Raw genomic sequence first — 24939 nt, 5'->3', positions numbered from 1 at the left:
AGTGCTGAATATCAGCAAACCTTTTAACTGGCAGAAAACTATCTTTTCCCTTTCCTTCTCAACTTACTCCTATCCATGAAGATGCCACATTTTAATTCTGCTGCATTCTGTCTCTTGGCATAATCCCATTTATTGCCATTTATATCATTCCTACTATAGCAACTCTCCCCCATACACATTCCATACTTAGAATTTCCCCTACTGTTTCTTAGCAAAATTCCCTTGTCCCAGGTTGGTTGTTCTCTGGGCCACATTCCAAGATACTCTAGAAGAATTAGCATGTGCTTATATGATAATATGCACAAATAACACAATTTATGACCTATCCCAACCACAAAGTGACAAATTAACACTTAGCATTATAATTACCCAAAGGATGGGAACTCCCAATGCTGGGAAATTTCAGGTAGACTTGTAGGAAGACAATATTTTGAACAGTGGTTGTGGCTTTCAATGTTCTTTGGGTCATTTGAGGGGTTGCTGATGCATTAGAAGAAGTAATACACAACACTGTACCACAAGCCGATGGTCCAGTTGTCATATAAACAGGTAATCAACATTCTTTGTGCTTCTCTGGTGTCATTTTCCTTTCCAGGTCTTACTCATAACAGTCAGTTTCCTGCATGGTATTTGAACAACTTAGAGAGAATCGAGTAATGGTAGCGCCCTTCTTCAGTGAAGGTTTCTTCCTGGAAACAGAACCGGAAGAAGCAAGTGGTCAAAGGTCACATTGGATCAGCTACAATGATGGACAGCAGGGAAGAGTCTCAATGGGTACTATTGTGTCCACGCTGGGCATTACCTGTGTTGCAGCCACACAGACCTGATTTAGGCTGCCCTTGCAAGTAGCAAGTACTAAACACCATTATTGTTTTGATGAAAAGGGTCCTGTGGATTGTTTTTGGTCTGCATGTTAACAAAGAAAAGAAGAAAGACAGCCAGGTTATTTCTTGAAAACAGCAAGAAAGACATTTTTCCCTTGAAAATGTACAAGATACATCTCCGCTGGAAACACACACATGCACACACACACACACACACACACAAACAAATGAAAAATCCTTTCATCCAGAATCTGTGGTTTGCTTTCTTTTATTCCTTAGTATACATGAGTATGTGAAAACACACAACACTCAGACATGCAGCCTGATCAAGTGATAATCTCTTATAATGTGCTTCTATTTAAAGCAACAAACAGATGGAGGGTTTATGAGTGAGGCTGGTAAAAGTAAAAGCAAATGACTGCAATAGTTGTACTTTTAATAGGATTCCCCACAATCCAAGACATTATTCCCTGAGGAACAAATTGTTCTTTAAAATTATGTTACTTAGGAAAGAGACAGTCGTCCTGACATTGCTGAGGCAACAGAGAGCTGCAGGACAGCCTTGAATTGCCGAGGTCTCTCCACTCAAGTCAGTGTCCTAGGGGAGGAAAGACAGTGATGTCAGGCACCACAATCCCCAAAGAACAAGCTCAGTGGAATAGGATAAAAGGAAGAAAGACCAAAGGGTAAAGGGGGTACAAAACATGTCTGGGCCCTGATTGAATTTATTACTTTCTACTTCTCAACTTTGAAAAACAAGGTTTGGGAAATTCCTACAGATTTAGGATAAACATGCAACATGGGTTCTACCTCTGCCAATTCAGACCAAAGTCTAGCTCTAGCACAGCAAATTTTGGTTAACACACAGTGGAACTGTAACCAACCCAGCACTTCATTATCACTATCCCTGCTTAAGAGAAACAAAGCTGACTATAATTCTATCAATAAGATGAATATACCTTAGTGATGGCCTTTAGGTAATTTATAATTAAAGCTAATCTTAATTAAAGTTATTACACCATTCTGGAAGAAAATAAACAACCCAAAGAGAGGGAAACAATGTGGTCAATAACTCACTCCAAAAATATGTTTTGCCTCCAAAGCTCACATTGAGGGAGACATTCCTGCGCATGATACAAATGGTTCTGACATTAAAAAAAGTAAACAAGTAAGAAAAATAAAGATGGAAAAATTCTGTGGTCAGTTCACAAGTGCTTTTTTATTGTTTGAGGCAGGGTTAAAGCCTTTTATAAAGACAAGGATATATGTGTGGCTAGATTGGATATGACATCTGACTCGTCTAGCTGCCCTTGCACAGAATTCTGGCTGCCCATATTATGCCAGGGAGAAAACATGTGTTGATGCTTCTAAACAATGACCCAGGGTGGGACCAAATGCAGATAATTTAAAGCATTTTTCCAGTGCTGTTTTGTAGATCAAACAGAGAAAAGGTACTCAAATCCAGTTACTAATGGATTTGAGAGATAAATGCAAACATTCAACATTCTCCAATTTTTCATGGTTTTGAGGATTTTAATGTTAACTTGTCTAAAGAACTGATTAACAAAGGTTGTGTAATCTCAAACAGGGACTCCTGCCAGCCTCAATACATGTCATTCAAGGCCTGTGTTGACTCAGTGGGCCAGAGGCTATGTAAACGGGCTAGAGCTGAGAAAGTAGGTTCTCCTTGGGCAGCTTAGGGATTCTGAGTCCCCATAGTTTTACAATAGCAGCTCCTAGTCCCTCAGTATCTATAACTTGGAGGGATTCTCTTTCAGGTTTTGCTGTCATCAAACTGACCTAATACTGGGAGGACAATGAACACTTGGTCTAAATGGAAGAAGCAGAAAAATAAACACTATCGTGTCAAGAACAATCAATCAACCTTTTGAACATCTTCTAGAGTGATTTGACTGGTGCACCAGCAAGTTAGATAAACTTTGAGTCACCCAACTAGCAATGATCACACTTATGTTCCTTGTGACATTAGTGCTAGTGCACAGCCAAGCATACAGGAAGACAGAGCACTGTCTCACAACCTGTGGATTTGATTTCTGAGAGGTCATGACAAAGATGCAAAATCCAAAAGGTTTGTGCCTTCTATAAAAACTCTTTGGTCTGGTGGGTGTTTTCAACAGTCTTAATTTTGTTTTTTAACCTCCTGACCCTTCACTCTATCTTTCATCACCTCACTCCCTTTAAATAGCACCCAAAGGAGCAAGCCAGCCCCACGCACAAGTATGGCCACAGGCATCACTGGAAGTGTGTACGGTTAAAAATAAATTAATAAATAAGAGTCCCTGGTGCAACCAAACCCTCATGCTGAGAAAGATGCCTTATGCCTTACACTGCATCATATTCAGGGCAAGAAGTGGATTTAGAGTTGAATGAAACAAGATAAAAGTCCACGCTTTTGTAGTCAGGGATTTAGGGAAAGCTATTTACGCCAATAAAGGGATTGTAGCAACATGAAGCCAGCCATAAATGTATGACCTGGCTGGGAAGTTATACCTTGTTCTCCGAAAAACTGCAAACTGAAATGCACCACCTGTCATAAAATCGATGCTAAAGGAAGGTGGAGGGGAAGAGACGGGAGCTATGTATATGCAGAATACAGGACGTTAAGATTTAAAAGGAGTGAGGGAGAATGGCCATCCCCTAAACTGTGACTATTTCACTAAAAATAAGCCCACAGCACGATGGTATCAGAGGGATTTCAATTCAATAGGCGAGCTGAGGACAGTCTTTCTCACTTGACTGCAGCCACTGAGCATGTCCAGGGAGGCCCCAGGTGTGACCTCTGCTCCCCTGTGAGCAGTGGCAGGACCAGGCAATCTATCATGGTGTTCATGCTGTCAGCCCTGTTGCTTTGCCACCGCTGTCTGTCACCCTGGTGGATGAGACCTGCTTAAGGGCAATCATGTCAATCTCTATGTGACCACTCAGTCTAAGGCAGAAGGATCATCTTGACAGGCCTGGCAAAGTCAGCGGAAGGTACCAAAAGCTGAAGTCATAGCTTTTCCCAAAGAGAGGCAATGTGGGCTATTGTTTTTTCTTTAGCGTTTTCTTTATTTTTGATTTCCCTTTTGATTTTATTTTCATGAAATGGGTGAAGGTATACAGAAGTTGGCTTCAGAGCTGGTCATCTCGGATAAACCTGTTGCCCTCTGAGTTTTTCCCATAGTAAACGTAGCGACACTTCCCCAGGACACCTGCAAATAAAAAGACACACATCATTACAGGTGGCACACTTAGCATAGCAGGGAAACACAGGTGCTGAAAAGCAGACATGCAAGATAATCATAGATCCAATGGGCAGCAGAAAGTGGATGAAGCTCCAGAAGGGAAGAACTCTCCCTTTTTGTCCTCACAGACAAGAAGATTCTGTCAACCTCAGAGTTGACATTGAAATAAAATGTCACTACAAGTATAGGCTCCTAGGAATATCACTTTCTGCATGACTTCTCTTCCACATGCTAGGTACTTTTCTAATTTGGCCAATTACTCCCCAGAATGTAGCCTCTCCTCACGCCAGTTTCCCTTAGTAGAGTTTCAAAGAATGGAAAATTAAGAGTTTAAAGATGAACCCAGCCCAAGTAAAAGATGTAGAACAATCTTCCCAGAATGTGACTATTTTGATACCCTTTATCATGAAGCAATGTTGTTGACTTCCAGAGAGAATATTCCAAATTCTGGCAGGCACCAGGCATTGAGCACATATGGGATGATTAAGGAAGAGAGGTGGTGTTGACAAAATACCATATGAATGGCCGGGCGTGGTGGCTCACGCCTGTAATCCCAGCACTTTGGGAGGCCGAGGCAGGTGGATCACAAGGTCAGGAGATCGAGACCATCTTGTCTAACATGATGAAACTCCGTCTCTACTAAAAATATTAAAAAAATTAGCTGGGCGTGGTGGCAGGTGCCTGTAGTCCCAGCTACTCGGGAGGCTGAGGCAGGAGAATGGCGTGAACCCGGGAGGTGGAGCTTGCAGTGAGCCGAGATCGCGCCAGTGCACTCCAGCCTGGGCGACAGGGAGAGACACCGTCTCAAAAAAACAAAAAAACAAAAACAAAAAAAAACACCACATGGACAGGAACAAGAGCCTCCCATTAAATGGCTTCTTACAGGAATCCTGAACTCTCTTTCTCTGGTCAGAATGCATTTGATTTCCATTTTCAGTTTTACTTTAAGTAACTCTGTGGCTCCGTATAAGGCTCTCCTCTCATTCAAGGAGATTGTAGGAGACTTAACAATGAAAAATGCCCCTACAATAGGGTTGAACTTTTTAATCAACTCATTATTTATTCTAAATGCCCATAAGAAATCACTTCCATAGTTATTATGAAAGCTCTGTAGGATTATCAAGGAAAAATCTGTTTTGTTTTTGCCACCTGCATTTTTATTTTCTTCTATTTTTAGAAAAACCTATTTTAAATTCAGTTGGACAGAGTTGTCTTAGCGCTAATCGGACTTGAGTCTCTGAACTGTACACAACTAGAAAAAAACAAAGAAAGGAAATGTCCATAAGACAGTCATTCAATAGCCACAAATCTGCCTGTGAAAATAGCTACCTAGGGACATGATGATTTTTTTTTCCATCAGTGTGATAGTGTGAAACCAACAAGCCCATTTTTTTTTTTTTTTTTTTTTTGGTTAATTTGTGATAAATTAGCACTTGAAATTAACCAGGTTCTTCACATCAGAAGTTCTAAGTAGTAAATATTTTTGCAACTGTAAAAGAGATGTTTCTCCACTACAAAACTTCAAACCTTATTCTTACATAAGGATCAAAATGACTTTTAGAAACTTTTAAGGACAGAGCAGATGCTCCCTGGTTTGGATGGCTTGGAACAAAGCTAGAAATTGCTGGGGTCAAATAGTCTATCAGAGTTGGCAATGGAGAGAGGGTGACATTGTTCCACGGCCTCAAAGCTGGCCTTGGGCTCACTCTCATTAGTTTTACTTCCTGCCATGTTCCCATGAGTAAGTTTACTGTGGCTCATTCCTCCTCCTTGGTCATGCTTTCTCCTTGGCCCCTAATCCCCAATTTCTGGTTTTCAGTATTGGTCTGGTGCCTGGAAACTTTGAGCTTGGATGGAACCTCACTGAGACCCTTCTTGGGACCTAAATTATTCTTTTAGTTGTTGGCATTGAGCTGTTTCCTTTATCGTGCTGAATTATGTAGCCATCAGCATTGTACTAATATTGTCACCCATGCCAGGATCCTGCTGGTCTGTGGGCTTGGCTGATCAGGCTCTGCTCCAGGAATAGCATCCACTACAGGCCTGGGTGGGAGTGCCTCAGTTCTGCCAGGTATCCACAGAGGGCTTCCTTAAACATAATTGATTCAAATAAACCCTGAAGAATGTGGAAGCATGGGGCCAAAGGATGCTAATTTATTTCTATGGCACTAGGATAACATGAATTTTAATAAAAAGGAACAGATAGGTCTGTCGGATGTCATAAAGAACACAATCTTTCTCTTAAGCAAAAGGATGAAAGGCAAACACACACACACACCACACACACACACACACACACACACACCACCCACCATGAGTGCCCTCTCTCCAGTAAACTCTCCAGTACATTCACGGATTCAACTGCTTTTTTTTTCTTCCCTTTCTCCAGGGTAAACTTCGACTCCAGATCTCACTTACATGCAACTTGAATGGCAAGTGCCGCCCTAGAAACAGGCTGGATGCTCCTGGAACGTGGGCTGGGATGTGTTCTGTGCCACATTCCCGAGCCTTCTTTCTGGCTGGCATTGATAAAAGTCCTTTTTAAGGCCTACCCTGTTTCTTTGGGCCTGGAAGCAAGAATGTTTATAGACATCCTGGTGAGAGAAGGCTGTTTGATGAATGCAGGAGACTGCGGCTAGGTGTCAGCACTTGGAAAATGAGGCAAGGACATGAGGTATTAATATTGTCAATGATCTCTTGACAGGAAAACAGATACTGCATTCACTGTCAGATTTAAATAGACATCAAGTGCATTAACGACAAAAGGGCAGACTTCAAACAAAGGGGCTGTGTGGTGAAGAGCCGAGCTAGTCTCTGTGCTGGCAACAGCCTGATCTGAAAAGACACCATCAGGGTTGCAGACAGGCCCAGGATTGTGTGCGGTGACAGAAAACAGAGATACTGACAGAGATACCAGCGCCATATTATGCCAAGGATATTCTAACGCTGCCTGCGGCTCTAACGAAAGCTGACATCACTCCCCATCACTTGGGGTCGTCTCTGCCTGCCCCTGCAGAACATCTCTCCCCAGACATCATTACAAAACTCACTGTGGCTGCAAAGGTCCTGGCAGTTCTGTTCTGCTGGAGTGGTGGGGTCAAGGGGCCTAAGGATAACCTCAGTCAATCTAAATTTGGAATTTGCAGGAGGAGCACGCCCGACCCCACTGATATCTTGGCTACTTGAGGTGATCAGAAGGCCATTGTGTGAGGAGCTGTCACCTTGAATAAACTCCCAGAAAGGACGGCACTCAGTCTGTGGGCTGCTCCAGGAAGGCGTGGGGACGGCCTGGCAGTTGAAAATGAGATCCAGCTGCTGGTGCTCGCCCGGGGAGAAAGGTGCTCTGGCTAGCAATGCTAAGAATCGGCTGAAATTGTCAAACTCAAACCATCTCCAGCAGCTGAAATTAAGCGAGAATTGCCTCTGTGAGTCTCCTCCCAGAGCTCAGAGTTGGGATGTGATTACCCCCAATATGTGACTTTTGTGTTCAAAAATAAATAAATAAAATTAACCAGGAAAAGCAAACATGCACGAAACAGCACAGTCCCATGTGTGGCCACAGGCCTTTATTTATCATGAAGGTTATTTGTAAAATATGAGGCTCTGCTCGTAAATTAAGTGAGGTGGCATTGTGTTTCTCTCTCCCTCGTCCTCCCCACAGCCCTTCTTCTCCCGCCATGGCAACTGCCATCAACTGTGAAAATTACGGAGGGAACAGTTTGCTTGCAAAGAACATTTTGATGGGGAGGCACTCCGAGGCTGGAATTTGGGAACCCGCTGGTTTGTGACTCAGTAGGCAATGGTTTCTCTACACATCTGCAACGGATTCATTTGTTTCTATCTCTTCAAACTACAACTTCTTGGGACTGGAGGGGGAACAACACATTTAATGGCATATGCAGTGTTTTTAATTAAAAGATCTGGCTTTGGCCATAGTAAGTAAAGCAGGCTTGCCCTGTGTCAGGCTGACGTGCAGCTGTCTGTGTGGGGTTTCTTTTCGAAAGACCCTGAAAAATGACAGGGCAACATCCCCTGGGGAATTCTCTCCTGCCAAATGAGACTCCTAATTTTTCTTAAGTAGCCAGCTTTCCCATCACCATAAGCTGTTAAAGCTATAATTATGAAAAAAAAGTATCAGGAAGAATCTGTTTTAAAGAGGCCCTTTATCTTTTCCATGTTTTTCCCCTCTGGAATGGACATCCTAATTATGCAGGTTAAGTTATAACCTTGGGGCTGCCTAAGTGGGTGGGAATCAGCCTCCTTTCTTGGATGTGAGGCTGGGACTGCAGGGTCAGTACCAGAGATTTTGCTGGGGGAGGCCCTGAGAGCCCAGTCCAGGGAAGGGAATTCTTGCACATCCATTCATCCAGCATCCTGGACTCCCTGATTCCTGGATGGCCTCACACTTCCAGCTGCAGTTCAATAGTCTATTTAGTAAGGGGAAGTGGGGGAAGACCTGCATTTAGATCCAGCCCTGCCCCAACAGTCATGTGACCATGTACACATCCCTTTCTCTCACTGGGCAGGTTTCCCCATTTGTAAAACAAGGGCAAGGGGCCAGATAATCTCAGAGGTTCATTTTAGCTCTGAAATAGGTGATTTGGCATTTTCCAATGTTTTCCTTATGAAGATGAGAACACCAGGTCCAATATTGCCTGATGCAGGAGACAAATTCAACAGGTCAGTCAATAAAAAAATTGATTTGGACTAAGTCAGCCCTTGAAACCCATCCAGCCTGTAACCCCACAGTATAACCTGGATAGAAGGGGGCCTCTGGGGGACCCCAAAATCCTTGAGGAAAGGGTTTTCATTAACTTTCCTGCAATCTGCATTTCATACAGCTAGAAGTGCTGACCACTAACTAAGCTGTATCCCACTGGCTTTGGCATAAGCCCAAGTCTCATAACTCCGTATTCAACAGAACTAAAGCCCAGCCATCAAAGCAAGTGGTCTGTCATTAATATTTTAGTGGTGAAAAACAATCTGCATATAAAAATACAAAAATGCATTTGACATTGGAGTGCAGGTTGGACCAACACATTTATATTTGTAAAATAGAATAATTATCACTATTGTTAGTTTTGGTAGTCATCACTTTAGGGATCATTATTTTAAATGCATTTCATATGAGTTTATAAATGTAGCTATGAAATCACAAACATATCTTGATCCCATTGTGATACTAGGAGTTTATAATTACCCCTAGGATGGAGGCAGGGGATGAAGGGTTCCCCCACAGAACTCCTGTTCTCTCATCTGTATGAGAAACGAAGGAACTAGGTACCTCCTGACCCCTGCAAAAGGTGATAACAATGTTGTGAAGAGGTAGATGGGCCCAGTGACAGAGAGGAAAAGGTGATCAGGAGCGTCTTGGTCCACTGCAGAAGGCTCTAGAACAATGTTTCCATGGGACTCTATACATGTCCATAAATGTGTCATCCCCTATAATATTCTCCCTCCTCCCCAATTTCTAACACCCGGTACCTAAAACCATACAGAAGCATCTTGTTTACCATGGAGCTACATCCCAATAAACCTATTGTAAGTTGAAATTATTGTAAATCAAAAATGCATCATTACTTGAAACTATCTGAAGTTGTAAGCCCTTCAACTTACAATGGGGTTACATCTTCTATCAAATGTGTACGGCTTTGTAAGGTTAAACAATTATAGGTTGAACCTTCGTAAGTTGGAGAGCATCTGCACTTGGTACAGATGAGATGTTCAATAAATATTTGTTAAATAAATTAATACCATTAAAATAATCATGTACATAAAATTTACACAGAATCCACAAAGTAAGGAATGTCAATTGCTGGACACTCATCTTTTAACCTCTGGTATGACTTCAGACATTTGAAACACTCTGAAAATATATACGGATTAAATATTTGCCCCATTGAACAACAAAGAGTAATAGGAGGCAACAGCCACAGTTCCTAAATCGTGGTGGTGTTTTTACCCCAAACACTTTCCTCCCACAAAAACAAAGCAATCACAACATCTAGTTGAAAAGAGAGAAGTGCAGTGAACATTATCATCTGGCCTAAAGAGCTGTAAACATCATACAGTGGGAAGGGACATTCCCCAGAAAGCACATTCCTCAGTCTTTGTTAAGTGCAGGCCGTGAATACATGGGGAACTGGAAAGGAATAAACACCCATGTTTTATGATCTTGAGAAGTAGCTGGAGCAATACCCTGAGGTCAGCCCATGTGATGTGCTATCAGCTCTGCTGTGGCTATCACACAGGATTTAGTGGAGCCTGAGAAATGACAGGCTCCTAGCACAACATCCTACTTCAGTGTAAGCTACTTAAATACTAAGACAGAATAAAGAAGAGAGACTTTAAAAGGTCTTAGGGGAAGGGATTGTGTGGAAGCAGTTTTTGAGGAAGGAGGACAAAGACCTTCTTCTCCACCCAGTATATTTTCCCTTCATCTGCCGCACATCTGAGATGCCTTAGGTTGGAGATGAAATGAAGAAAGGCTCTACACCTTACCCAGGGGAGGGTGGAGAAGGAAAAAAAAAGTGTGAGACTTGTTTCCCAACCTAGCTGAGCAGGACTTCAGGCAAGTGTCTCGGTTTATCATCTGCATATTGGGTGGGAATGGGGTACTGCATCGCAACAGTGCATGCTATAACCCCCAAAACCTCTGTTAGGGCTCTTGCACCATGGGGGCCGGGGGTGGGGGGTTGGGGGCGGGGATACTGCACACTGTCCTTGCTAAATACCGCAGTGACCACTTCAAACCATGCTTCCTGTTTCACCTTCACTGTACAAAAACAACACCACAAGGGGTATTCCTACCCTGCTACACTGACCCTGATGTCTTGCATTGGTAGACATTTGAATTCTCCAAATTTGAGTCCAGGAATGCTTTGACTTCAGGTTTATAAATACAAACATGTAAACTAGTCTGGTAATTTGTCTTTGAGAAAGCATTAATTATTCACAGCAAACTCCATTTAGCCAATTTAATTCCTTAATCAATTTTTAAATACAAAAAACCATTTCTATTTTTAACATTTTCATTTCTATTTTATTGAGTTTATTTTCAATGGGATCAATTCTTTATCACGTAATTTTTACAGTAAGGTTAAATTCCTCAATCAGCTCTGGCCAAATATTAAATTGTGCTGATTACATCTTCTAAATCTCTTTTAGAGTCATTTATTTTTACAAAGTCCCATTTTCTTGAGTAAAATATTGCAGATCTAAATTGCGACAAGAAGACTTGAGTCTGCTCTTAAACTTTAGTCAACAAATTTTATTGTGTGTAGTTTTAGCTCATTTCAATTTTATTTTGTTTTCATTATTTCTACCAAGGTTAATTCCTCCCCATGTATTTGTGTGGTTTTCAATATATCAACAAGATATAAATCTTTGGTCAGTTTTTCATTCATCATAAATTATATTACGTGCAGGATTAGTTGCTGTCCTTTTTTTCCCAGGTTGATTATTTCTACCAACATTGTTATCATAAAGTAGAGTAAACACTAGTTTTTATTCATTTCTTAGCACAAAGAGTATGAAGGACAAAGGTGAATACCAAGTGCATGATAGGGTCTAAACTGTGGGGTTCTGATATGCTGTCTTCTACCAAATGCCAGACAAAATATTAGAGTGTGGAGCACCAATTCAAGGGTTAGGATGCACCATACCTGGAAAGAAAGCTAGCAAAAATGCCAGGCAACCTATCCTTTTGACAAGAGGGCATTTGACTCCAATGCTCAGACCCGTCCAGTGCAGCTTTCCACTGGGAGAGGACAGATTATACAGCCTGCTCAGACAAATGCTGGGCCTTGTCAAGTCTCACCCACTTGTTTGTAGGGAAGGAAAAACAGGGGAAGGAAGTCAGTCAGCAGGGAAGGGATACTGGCAAAATTTGTCGTGAAGGTGATCAGCAGGCAAGGCTGTGGGGCTAGCCTCCCAGACCAGGGAGGCTACACAGGTAGTCACAGAGTGGGCAGGCTCATTGTCGTGTGACAAACCAGAGCCTCAAGAAAACATACCCTGGGCTCCCAGGGCAGCTGAAATGAGGCTTGTCATCTTAGAAGAAGAAGGGGAGGTGGGGAAGGAAAGAGAGGAGAAAAAAATGCAGGGCAAGTTCCTCATATAGTCTGTCATATAATCTGTCAGTGGAAAATGGAAAAGCTGGTCCAAGTCTGAGAAATTACTGCATCTTTGAGCAGATCCTTAGTGACATTCTCTACTCTCCCATCTTGGGTCCTGGACCCCACACTCAGGTTACAGGCGTTGTGGCTCTATCCAGACTGAGTGGGCCATTCAGTCCTTTCCACATGAAAGAAATATTAGGCTAACAGATTAAACATTATCTGGCAGGGAATATTTCCATTATGTGAATCCTGGAAAGGAAACAGACAATGTACTTTTGCTTAGATGTCAATGCCTTTTAATTTCCTATTTTTTTGGATTGGGGGTAGTAACAAGTGAGTACCAACTGACAGAAAGATTCTCAGATTGGAGGGTGGGCTCACTAGCCCCCTTTATTGGGAGCTCCCTTTTTTGGCTCCTACCTCTATACACATTGTATTTCAATCAAACAGAAATGTATTATAAATATGAGAGGTCAAACTCCATGGTAAATATTTCCTTACTCCAACAACCCCTCTCCTCCCCAGCCCCCAAATAAACTGCTAAATCTTCTTAGCAGTCCAAATTTTGTTTTTTAGCCTCAGGTTACATTTTTTTTTTTTTTTTTGGTCCAAGCCAAAGATGAAGCCTGAAACAGTTTTTATTCTTGACTTCCTAAACAATGAATTGCTTATACTGTCCTATAAGGATTCTCTGTGATTTGCTGTACTGCCTAGTATGCTTCAATACAGAATGGTAAACTTTTCTTTGTAAGTATTTCTTTAACTGTATTGGAGGATTCTCAAGCTGAGAAAGAATTTAAAGAACCTCATTTTAGGTAAATTCTTTCATTTTACAGCGGAGAAAAATAAGGTTCCAACTGGCTTTTGGAAAGTGACAGAACCGGACCAGGCACCCATACAACTCTATCTAGCCCAGAAATATCCCTGAATTATAAGATACTGCCTTGGCGACAGGAATATAAATTTTGCTTTTCCGCTTACTTTTCAAATTCATTATTTATTTGTTCAGTCCTGTTCACAGGAACCAGGGGTCTCCGGAGAACATCAAAGATCACCCACACCCTTACTTAGCAGGCTCATTCTTACTTGCTTTTTCTTAGAGAGAAACTTGAACTGCAAGACTAGTTTGGTGTGAGTGTATTTCCCTTCTCTCCTATGTCTGTATTCTAGGTAGGGCTTAATGGATTTGAGATGGGCTGGATTCCAAAGTGCATGCCGAGATGGGATGCGAATCCCTTCAGATTTGTGAAGTGCCCTTCAGTGCGGGTCCGTGATGGATGTCACATCAACCAGGCTGTCAGTCAAAGCGGACAGTGGTCAAGTGCTCTGGCCTCACGTTTCTTTCTCAATGTTTGAGTGAGAAACTCAGACATCTTTCAGACAGGAGAGAAAAAAGAAAGAAAGGAAAAAGCCACCCCGTCACCACCTCCTCCATTCCCGCCATTATCTCTACATTCATCCTTTCCACCTTCTAGCTGAAGTCGGGAGCATCACCACTAGAGGGCAGCATGAAGTTAGGAAAGCAGCCGCTTGCTTAAAATAAATAAATAAATAAATAAATGGCGGCAACTATTCAGGGAGAGCCATTATAGCCACACTGTGCTTTTGGTCACCAATTATAGGTTCCTTAATGATCAGTATGTCATGTTTGGTCAATCTGTGCTGAAGGTTTTCAGGAATGGGGCTATCAGACACTCCTTGCCCCCCATTTTGGGGTTCTTCTTGCCTCAATTTCAGGGACTGAATTTCTTTACCATCAATTGTTCTAATTAATCTTCCAGGCTCAGAGATTGGGGATTTTTGCATATCACCTCCACAAATGTAAAGAAGCATTCAAAATACTAAAGATTTCCTGCATTTCTTAGGTGGAAAACATCATTTTTACCATGAAAGTTCAAAAAGATATGCCATCATTTGACAGTCAAAAAAGTAAAAAACGTAAAAATAAATAAAAATGAAAAATGGATCAATACACACAAAGTTATCCTCTTTTAATGCTCCCCCTCCCCACAAATCTACCTAGCATTGTCTTCCCTCTCAGGGTACCTGGTCTCAGTGTCATCAAAAAAGAGAGGCAGAAGCTACTCAGATAAAAATATGACAATAATTCCAGCTGCTGTTTGATCCTCATCTGATCCCCATCATTGGTCTCTGGTACATGGGTCAAGTAACTATTTTCATACCTGGAACAACAGATGATCACCTCCCTTTAGGAGAAAGAGGTATTTGTGGGCTTCTAGATATTTCAAACATATCATTATTAAAAAACAAACAAACAAACAAACAGCAATAAAGGTATAACATTCTAGGGAATGGCATTTTAAATTAGAATTTTATAGGATAAAAATACATGAGTGGATTCAATCAGGGAAGGAGTAAACACAAATTGGAGTTACTGGCCTTCTAGGCAGGGGAAACCAGAGCTGGGTCCAGGTGTTATTCTCCATTTCAGCCGAGAGGCCTCTCAAGTGGTCAGTGAGGCAAGTATAAAATGGCCCTCACACATCTTCTTAGCTTTCCTAATATAACAGTCATGTGACTAACTAGCCACTCGGAGAATGTTGGGTCCTTGTTAATTAAATTATCTCATTAACTCATGGTTAGCTAGAAACCTTTTTGAATTTTCACACATAAGACACTAAAAGCAAAGTCAGTTTCACTGTCTTACTAGGTAATCATAGTGACCACAACTGAGTATTTCTGGAGTGCCTTTAGTGAGGATAGTACAGTTAGGAGATTAGCTGGGGTGGGAAGACTGCAGATTGAACATTTCTCAAGATCTTAGGATCTCCTGCTCATATGAGCTCCAAAAAATCGAAAACAATAGACTTTCGCCCATGCATCATAAAGCCAAGGGCACAGTAGGTATGCAGTACATTGTTTTTAAATTGTGGAATAGATGAAAAGATCTCAGCATACTTATTCTGAACCCCAGCATTTATTATACATCCCTGGACAGTTATAGGTAGAAATGTATGGGTTGGCCCTGGGACAGTGGTTCTATGACTTGCCCATGCATCAGAATCACTGAGAAGGCCTGTTAAAACACAGCTTGCCAAGCCCCGTTCCCCAGAGTTTCTGATTCCATGGATCTGAGTTGGGGCCAAGAGTATGCATTTTTGCAAGTTCCCAGGTGATGCCGATGCTGAGGGACCAACTTTAAGAAACACTGTTTTAGGACAACCTACAGAGGGGCCCTTATTTCTTTTTAAAAAGTAAAACTCGTGACATTGCTTTTTACTCTTGTAAAATCAAGACTGTCTAAAATCAGAGATCCAAAAATCTGGTTAACTGAGGGTTCTAGTGTCTTGAGTTTTGGTAAATGGAGGTTTTATTTTATCCCCAATAGCAGTCTGAAAGCTAATGATACCTAAATAATAACAATAATAATAATAATAATAATAATAATAATAATAAAAGGTTGTTCCAGCTCTTTATCTAAAACAAAAACCATAAACATTCAAATTTTAGTAATGTGCAATTACATTAACAGGAAAAAAGAAGAAAACAGTTTCTTTGGATATGTAGAATAGATCTGAACCATCATTTATGGAGTATAATCAAAAAATAACTTGCAGGAAAAATTTCACAGAAAGACTTTGGACTTCCCCAAAACTGACAGAATCTTGTATGAAGAAATCTGAGCAGTGGGGGTCCTCCTGCAGAGTCTGAATGGGAATTTTGGCTTTGCTCTCAAGCAGAAATTTGCTTTTGGGCTTCAGATCTGTTCCTATTAGAGAGCTTACATCAAAAGCAGGGAACATCCACAGTTCTGTCTGGTTCTGCAGGCTGAAATTTCTCAAGAGAGTCACTGAAAATAAAGACAATTTGCTTTCTTGTTTTCCTAATTCTTCAAGCTACAAAAAAAAAAAAACAAAATAAAAAACAAAAAAAAAGAAACCTTTCAAATAAAATTAAGCAGACCCTGTAACAACTGGGTTTGTCATAATTCAAACCCTGCAAGGATTGGGGAAAAGGCCTTCCTTACTTGGGCCCATTGGTCCAGCCTCCACCTGCTCTTCATTAGAATCCAAACAAACTCTTCCTGTACTGATATCACCATAATCTTTCCTAATTCCAGCACACCCTAAATTGCTTTCTCTGAAAAGAAAACAAAGGGAATCTGATGATATATAATCTAACCGAAAGAAGTTTGCTTTACAAAAAATGACCCAGTCTGTTGTTGCAGAAAGCACAGCATAATTCTTGGACACTAGCTCATCCCAGTGCCAAATGGTAAAATATGTTCATAATTTCCTGATCTTCAACTTCCCATCCTCTAACCTGCTTTGGGAAAAAGCTGTGTGTGTGTGTGTGTGTGTGTGTGTGTGTGTGTGTGTGTGTGCATGTATATATGTAAATGTATATGTGTATGTATATGTTAATGCAAGAAACTGTAGGTTAAGGAAGAATTAATAGTAGAAAGCAGGTTATAAGAGTTATATGAACCTCTGTACATTTTTTTCTACCCAAGATAAAGACAAGGAAAATAGTAGAAGAGCATGTTATAAGGGCTTTCATTAGGGTCAGGCTCATTAAAACTTAATGAAGGCACCAGAGCCTCTCCAGCAATATTAAGATGGGTGTGTTTTTTGCCTATCAATAGAATGCCCCAGTCAGACAGACACTGCTGACAGTGGGTGGTACCAGGTGTTATCTGTCCCTAGAATGTACTACTTTGATGGCTTGGGATATTACCCCTTTTATTTGGCTGGCTTGAATTTGTCAGGATTCACCCTGTGGTAAGTTAACATGCTTCCATATTGGGGGGAAAAAATTGCCCATGGGCCAATGTGAGCCTCGCACCTAATAGAATACATCTGGCTCCGACAGTTTGATGCCCAGCTCTAAGCCACATTCGGCAACACAAATTAACAGCGTAGACATTGCCCACGCTGAGCAGGAAGTAATAACCTGCTACCTGCTACTTGGCCAAAATCTCATTATAAGCCATTACGGTAATTGAGGGCCAAGACTCTATGGATATTAGACTCCCTGAGCACCAGTGGTGAGTTCAGGAGAAGAAAGACTCATAATGCAGGCGGTGGGGCAGCCTGAGGAGAAACTGTGCTTAGCATCACACAGAGAATTCCGTCTACAGGGTGCTCTGTGGTGCAGGGAGAAGCCCACATGACCTCTCCTGGGGGGGGCTCAGGACTCCAGGAAGCTGATGTAACTATTGGTAGGCCTCCAGCAATGCTATACAATTGAAATTTTATTTGAATGAACATTGGGCACAGCCACAAAGGAAAGAAGAGGGCAAAATAAGCCAGAATGTTCCATGAGTAATAAGCATGGAAGCTGGCGAGGGGGTGGCAGAAGTAGCAATCCGTTCTCCCTAGAAGATGAGGCTCTCTAGGAGTACTGCATGTATAAGAGCTTGCATTCTTCCAGAGGGGCAACTTCTTTGCCCATAAATTCAGCCCACTGAGTCTCTGTGCAGGGTTGGGCAGTTGCGAATGAAGTGGTGTGAGTTGAGGGGAGGGAAACAGGACAGAAGTCCTATTAATCAATCAGTAAACCAACTGATCAATCAACCTGATTTTTGCTACCATGAAGATGGCCCTGGACTCAGAAAAAATGATGATGGCTTTCAATAAACTTTTCTAAGAAAGTGTCATATAAGGCCAGGGAGAGGAGTAATTGACAATATAAGAAACTGTCTGCAGAAATCCCTTCTTATCATCACTCTCTACACACACACACACACACACACACACACACACACACACACACACAGGCACACCCCAATAACAACTAAATTCTCCAATCATGGGGGCAATCTCATGCAGGGTTTTACCTAATGTATAATAAAAGCTCCTGAGTGCCATGTCTCTCCCGACACCACTGGACTGGTGAACACCTTCCTGAGAATCTCCAAGTGACAGTTTCATCCTACACCAGGTCTCAGTGAAGGGTTCCTTGCTATTGGCATTTTAAAGAATCAATAATTTAAGGAAAATCAGCACTATGGTGAAGGACATAGAGTGTTCCCGAGCATGGAGACACCTTGTGAGCCTTAAGCACACACCCTGCGCACCCTAAGATAATCTTCCCGTCTCAGGCAAGCCAGCCTCCTCACTTCCCTTCACCTAGAGGGTTAAGCACAGTCTGGAACCTGGAAAATGGCTGTGGTTGGTACAAGTGAGGCCTTCCCTATAACTAGATCCTTCAGGAAAAAACAAATTAATCAACAGTGAGCTGAAGTGGGTTTAATGATTGCATTCTGCATACAATCAGCTTTTCCCTTTTCAGGGGCCATCAATATGTCAAGGGAAGACATATCTGAAGGATATAGCTCTTAACATCAAGGTTATCTATTCTCCACAAGGCTCCCACTCCTTGCCTGGCTGATACTCCACGCTGCCTGTGTCTAACATTTTCATCAACTCTGCAATCAATCAAGGTAATAATGTTGTGCAAAAAATCAATTAACAACGCAATTAAACTTTCCTTATTATCTCAAAGGGCTGAAATAATACCTAAAGGGAAGATAGACTCACTGAACGCAGACATCCATAATCCAATGTGAAAGTGAATTATGAGGTTAGACAGATGCAGGCATGTGCGGGTGCTGTTATTTTCCAGGGGTTATATCTCATCACGGCAGTGTATCAGTCAGCCCCAATCCCAGACCCTAAAATTCCAAATTACTTTTAAGAAATATATGATGTGCAATATCCATTTCATATTCTCTTTTAAAGATAACCCCCTCCCCTCCAAAAAAAATTGAGCGGCCATATTATTCAAAGACAAAATGATCTTTCAACAAGAACATAAAATATAAAAGCTATAATAACATTTACATCTGTATAGCACACATCTCTGTAAATGCAGGTCATCTATTATACATAATCCGCAGCACCTAAAAGCCCAGGATGTGGCACAACATTTAAAACCCAAATGTGAAAATGTGCAAACTCCTATGAGATGGCTGTGACTTCCCCCAAGGGGAGGCCTCACTCATGCCTGCCTACACACACACACACACACACACACACGTGCACACACCTACATGCATGCATGTATACATGCACACACATGCATGCAGGAGCATCTGGAACAACGCAAGTATGACTCATTTAAAAAGAGAATTACTATATTATTTAGCAATTACACTCAACTTGCCCTGAAACACTATCCTTAGGAATTGAGCATTTACAGTACATAAAAAAAAGATGACTATTAACCTTTTGCGGCGTAAGGACAGGGAAGTGCTTGAAATTTTACACTGAAATGAGACACATAGGGGAGGCAGAGGCAGGGGTTCCATGACATTTACAGAGCTCGTTTTAAACTACTCTGGACTGGCATGCCGTGTTCTGACACCATCAGAAGGAAGCCTAGCAGTAGAAGGGGAAATAGTGAGCAGAGGAAGAAGGAGAAATAAATGCCAAAACAAAAGCCTGCAAACAAAATGTGCTAATCTAACATTAGCATTATGTGAACATCTTCTTACCCCTGGAAACAAAAACACAATACTGACTTAAAGAATAAATATGAACTCACCCAAAAATCATCAGTTCAATTTTCCCTGAACTTATCCTTCTCTTTTTTAAGATGGAATCTCATCCTGTCGCCCTGGCTGGAGCGGTGGGGCGATCTGGGCTCACTGCAGCCTCCACTTCCTGGGTTCAAGTGATTCTCCTGCCTTGGCCTCCCAAGTAGCTGGGATCACAGGCATGTGCCCCCATGCCTGGCTAATTTTGGTATTTTTAGTAGAGATGAGGTTTTGGCATGTTGGCTAGGCTGGACTCGACCTCCTGACCTCAAGTAACCCACCCAACTCGGCCTCCCAAAGTGCTTGGATTACAGGCGTGAGCCAGCATTCCCGGCTTCACCCTTCTCTATTAGGGCACTAGAGGTTGCCTCCTAGCAGAGTTTGATGATCTCTCACCAGCCTAGAAGATCCCTGGATACCCTGGATATACATAGGAGCCAAATGAATGGACCTAGGAACATACAATTCCAAATTTGGGCCACGGACAGTTATCCAAATCAGACTAAGGAATGATTTCCTTCATGGTCAAACATGTTGCTCCATGGGTGCTAGGACTGGATACTATATGACTCATTTCATAGCAGCAAGAATTTCCACATATACCACTGGGACTTGTGCAGGTATTGTCAAGCATTTAAAACAAGTAATTTTTCTGCAAGTTATTCACTCGTAACAAAGATCCATCTTCCCAAGCCAACTTTCTTCCATTTTCAGTACAACAATGAGGCAAGTCTGAGCCCCAAGTGCAGACTCGAATAAACAGTAAAACAAAACAAATACACATGCTCATTCTGCAGTTTCTTAGGAAAAATAAAGAGGCAACCCAGGATGTACTCTTTGGTACAAATTTTCAACAGAGAAGTTAGAAAGGTTTAGTGAATCCTGCTATTTCTCTCCTAACCTTAAGGAACATAATTAATATGTTTTCATTTCCAATGACTCTATTGTGTGTGTAGCAACTGGAACTGCCCCTGCTGTGTATTTGATTCCACCGACGATGGGGTGGGTTGGATTTTAAATGATGTGTGAGCACTTCTGTTCTTTCCGTGCTCTGGTTTATGTGTTATTCATGACTCGCATTACAGACATGGCTGATACACAGATGTAAATGTTATTAAATCTTTTGTATTTTAGAGGCTTTGTGAAAGGCTTCTTTGTTTTCAAATAATTCTCTTCACCACCAAAAATAACCAGTAATACGTGACAATGTCTTGGGAATTTTTTCACTGTATTTTCTGATGAAGAGATTTCCCCCTCTACTGCTATCTTTTCATCAAAATAAAAATGTAGAATGAATTGGGAGATGGAAAAGTTACATCTTTATTGTGTTGCTCAATGTGTGCACATGTGCACATGTGTGCAGGCACTAATGTGTGTTGCATGTTTTGCGTGCATGTGTGTTGAATATGGGCATGTAGGTGTTTGTATGTGTGTTGTGTGTGTCTTCTGTGTGTCTTTATGTAAGTTGTGTTATACAATACACATACTACATGTTGTGTGTCTACTTCGTGTGTGTATCTTGTATGTGTGTTATGTGTATACAAGGAATGTGTGTGTGTGTGTGTGTGTGAACATGTTGATATCATTACGCCAAATCAGAACTCAGAGTCACCCAATTCTTGATTACCTGTCAGAGATGCAGTTGCTTTACTGCATTTGGGTATCTGACATAATTTTTAATGTGTTTTCACTTTGCTCCATCCTATTCATGTTTCACAGGCTTTCAACAGAAATGTGGCAGAGGATAAACCTCTTCATATAGACAGCACTTAATCAGTCTGTGCCTCTCGCTGGCACACTTTTCTCTATTGATTTTAAATTTAAACAATGCTCTGAGACTGAACAATGCACCTCCACAAATACAGCTGACTTGACTGAAGGAGGTCAGGAAAGATGGAGATGGCACATTCCAATCTTGAGATGAGTGGCCCAGCTGCAAAGTGCTCTAAAAGGAGGGATTGCTCAGGCCCTCTGCCCACCCCTGGGGAAGTAGGGGTGCCTGCTTGATTTCAAAGGTTCCCTCTCAGGATCATAAGAAAGATCACCTCAACTCAGGGTGGATATGGTGGACTCAAAAGTTTGCAGCTCCAGTTCCTAGTGCTATTGCCCTGGGAAACCTGTTCCATCTCTCTGGGCCTCAGCTTCTTAGCATGTAAAGAAAAAACTCCTTGGGGCTATTTCTTTCCTAATGAACATCACTCCTATTATCATCTAGGCAGATTTCCTGTGCTGTGAGTACCTCACATAGTGGACATCATGATACAGACCTTCTCTTTCTGTCTCCTCTTTTCCTTTCCTTGATTCATCCTCTCTTCTTCCTAGAGTATCTACAACCCTTGTACTCTTCCTTGCCTTCCTTGGGGTTTCTATCAGAGACAGAATCCAAACACCACTGTCCTTTTTTCTCATCTGACCTTTCATAGCTTTTCTAAGAAGTGGCTAGTCTCTGATAAGTTAATACATATTAGGATGTTATACCTTTTTTAAAATAGACGCTATTATAAAAATAGACCAACTGACTAAATCTCTAATGGAATTTCAGGCAAAATAAGTAAATGGAGAAACACCATATGCCAGGCATAATCATTGCTACTCACTCCCACCTCTAAAAAGAAAGAAAAAAGAAAAGGAAAGAGAGAAATTCTTTGTACATTTGTGGAACTAGCAGGCCAGAAAGGGAGATGGTTTGTCAAATAAAAATAACTATAATAAAAGTTGCTATAATACTTTAATATACAAAATGTTATGCAAACACAGGAAAAAAATTAGCTCTGCCTCAGGGAGGGAAGAGGTGGGCAGAAGGCATACAAGACATTTTCTTTCAATGCCTGCCTTTTTATAGTTGTGTTAAGTCACAAATATTATACAGAGTTGTAACAAGTTAAACAATCCAGAAGACGTATTTAAGAATTTAATAATTACTCCTTTCAAGATTTCCATGACTACCTAATATAGAGTGATTCCCAGGATATACTGTATATGTGTGTGTGTGTGTGTGTATATATATATACATATATATAACTGTATATAAATATGTATATACATATATATATACATATATAACTATATAAATATGTATATACATATATATATACATATATATGCAAGATATCCTGTTAAGTAAAAATGCAACAAGCAAAAATAAAATCAATAAACTCAGCTACTTTTTGGTAAGAAAGAAGTAAAAACAAGGTTAAAAAAAAACCCATATACACATGTCCATCTATGCTTTCCAAAAAGAATGTGGGAAGGATAAACCAGAGACTAAGAATGACAATGTGTAGCTGGTGGGTAGAAATAGGGTAAAGGGGATATGGATGGGACAGGGACTTCTCTGAATATGTCTCTTTATCATCATATAGTTTACACACTCAAAATATAAAATAAATTGGAAAGGATGGAAAATGTGAACCCTAAGTCTGAATACAAACAGAAAAAAATGAACCTAATTGTATATTAAATCTATAGTACAACTATACAAAGAAATTAATTAAAGTAATTTTGGAACACAGTACTTCAACTACATGCCTGAATATATTCTAAGTAACAGAAAACTACAAAGAAATCTTGAGCTTTAACTTAGTAGGCTTATTGTTGTTGGTGTTATTGCTATTATCCTTCTCAAATTATTTTGTGTATATTGTAGAACAGAGAAAATGTGTAAATATACTGAGGTTGTTAAAAGTCAGGATTTTCAGAGAGAAGAGAAATAAAACTAAGAATGAGGGAAGATGAGGTAGGTAGGCAGAATAACTCAAGATGTCCACACTTGAATCCCTGGAACCTGTGAATACGTTATGTGACATGGCAAGAGAGGCTTTGCAGATGGGGGTATTATCCTGGACTATCTGGGTGGGCTCAATCTAATCACATCACTCCTTTAAAAAAAAGAAGCTTTTAAGACTGTCATCAGAGAGGCAGATGTGACGATGGAAAAGCCGTCAGAGCGGTGCAGTGTCACTGGCTCTGAAAATGGAGGAAGGGGCCAGGAGCAAGGAATATGTATGGCCTTTAGAAGCTGGAAAAGGCAAGAAAACAAAATTTTCCTTTGGGCCTCCAGAAAGAAGTACAACCCCATTGGCACCTGAATTTTAGCTCAATGAAGACCAAGGTCAGACTTCTGACCTACAGAGAGAAAGGATAAGCATAAGAAGAAGGTGACAATAGCTCTGCAAATTTGAATTGGAGGGATCTGTAAGAAATTATGATTAAAATATACACATATGACTGTGTGTGTGCACACATGTGCTCAAGTCATGCACGTGTGTAGGGCATCTAGCATCCACATACTGGTTTCCAAAATAACAAGGGCTACTGGAAGAAATGGCTGATTCATGTTGTGGGGCAGGGAATGTACACAGTAAGCCTAGAACATTTTGTTGTGCCAGAAAGCAGGGAAAGAGCACAGAAAGAAGTTTGAAGAAGCTCTCTCGTGAACAAATTTGGCACTATTTGAATATCGGAAATAATGATGATAGTAATTATTTGATACATTTGATTTTTTAATAAGTATGAGTCCATCATAATATTTAAGCAAATATAAATACAAATAGATGCAAGGGAAGAAAGAAAGCTCTTATTTAAAGAATGACAGCTAATTAATATAGAAGGAGTGACAAAATTAGAAAAATTACCATGCACCAACATAGTAATTCAGGCAAGTATTATCAATGGCTGTTACAACTATTGGGTGAAAGTTTATTGGGGAAGAAAATATTCACACAGTCTTTAGGTCACTTATTAATTATAAAGGGGAACATAGCCTTTAGAGGGGATCCATCTGGCGGTAACCACGTTAGCCAAATGATCAATCTTAGCATCACTAAGAAGGGGAAAAGGGATCATTAAATAACACGTGCCTCATAACATGATGCAGTAAATATGCCAATATCACCTATGCTTGCCAAAATGTTAAACTTGAATCAAACCATGAGGGAATGTTCAGAAAAATTCAGAATGTGGGACATTCTAAAATGAAATTGACCTGGGCTTTTGATAAAAATGAAATGTCATGAAAAGTAGGAAAGGTGGGAACATGCTCTAGATCAATCGCTCTTCAGTTTCATCAGAATCACCTGGAGAGCTTCTTTCAACAAAGATTGCTGGATCGACCCCCGGAGACCCCAGTGATGTGACACTGCCGGTCTGGGGCCCACCCTTGAGAACCATCACCCTAGATTGGAAAAGACTTAAAAGCCTTAACCATCAAATGCAAAGTATAAACTTTGATTAAATACTGGATTAAAACA

General features: G+C 40.9%; 1 protein-coding gene across 3 annotated transcripts in view, besides 1 other annotated feature; it reads right to left on the bottom strand.

The window, feature by feature from the left end:
- Positions 1077-24939, bottom strand: part of LRMDA (leucine rich melanocyte differentiation associated) — a 1128545-nt gene continuing 1104682 nt past the window's right edge. For all 3 annotated transcript variants that reach the window (NR_131178.2, NM_001305581.2, NM_032024.5), the window contains one exon: positions 1077-4036. Coding sequence is in view for 2 of the 3 variants with exons in the window: in NM_001305581.2 (NP_001292510.1) it covers positions 3957-4036 (80 nt within the window). In the remaining variant the exon portion in view is untranslated. The remainder of the gene's footprint in view (positions 4037-24939) is intronic.
- Positions 13560-13854: a silencer, noted in NCBI's record as "tiled region #3593; HepG2 Repressive DNase matched - State 12:CtcfO". NCBI's record gives its function as "represses a minimal TATA promoter and a strong SV40 promoter by Sharpr-MPRA in HepG2 cells {active_cell/tissue: HepG2}" and the evidence as "EXISTENCE:reporter gene assay evidence [ECO:0000049][PMID:27701403]".

The sequence above is a fragment of the Homo sapiens genome, chromosome 10 (genome assembly GCF_000001405.40).
Source record: "Homo sapiens chromosome 10, GRCh38.p14 Primary Assembly".
NCBI classification, from domain to species: Eukaryota; Metazoa; Chordata; class Mammalia; order Primates; family Hominidae; genus Homo; species Homo sapiens.
The sequence above is the reverse complement of the archived record's forward strand: the minus strand, read 5'-3'. Positions and strand labels throughout refer to the sequence as shown.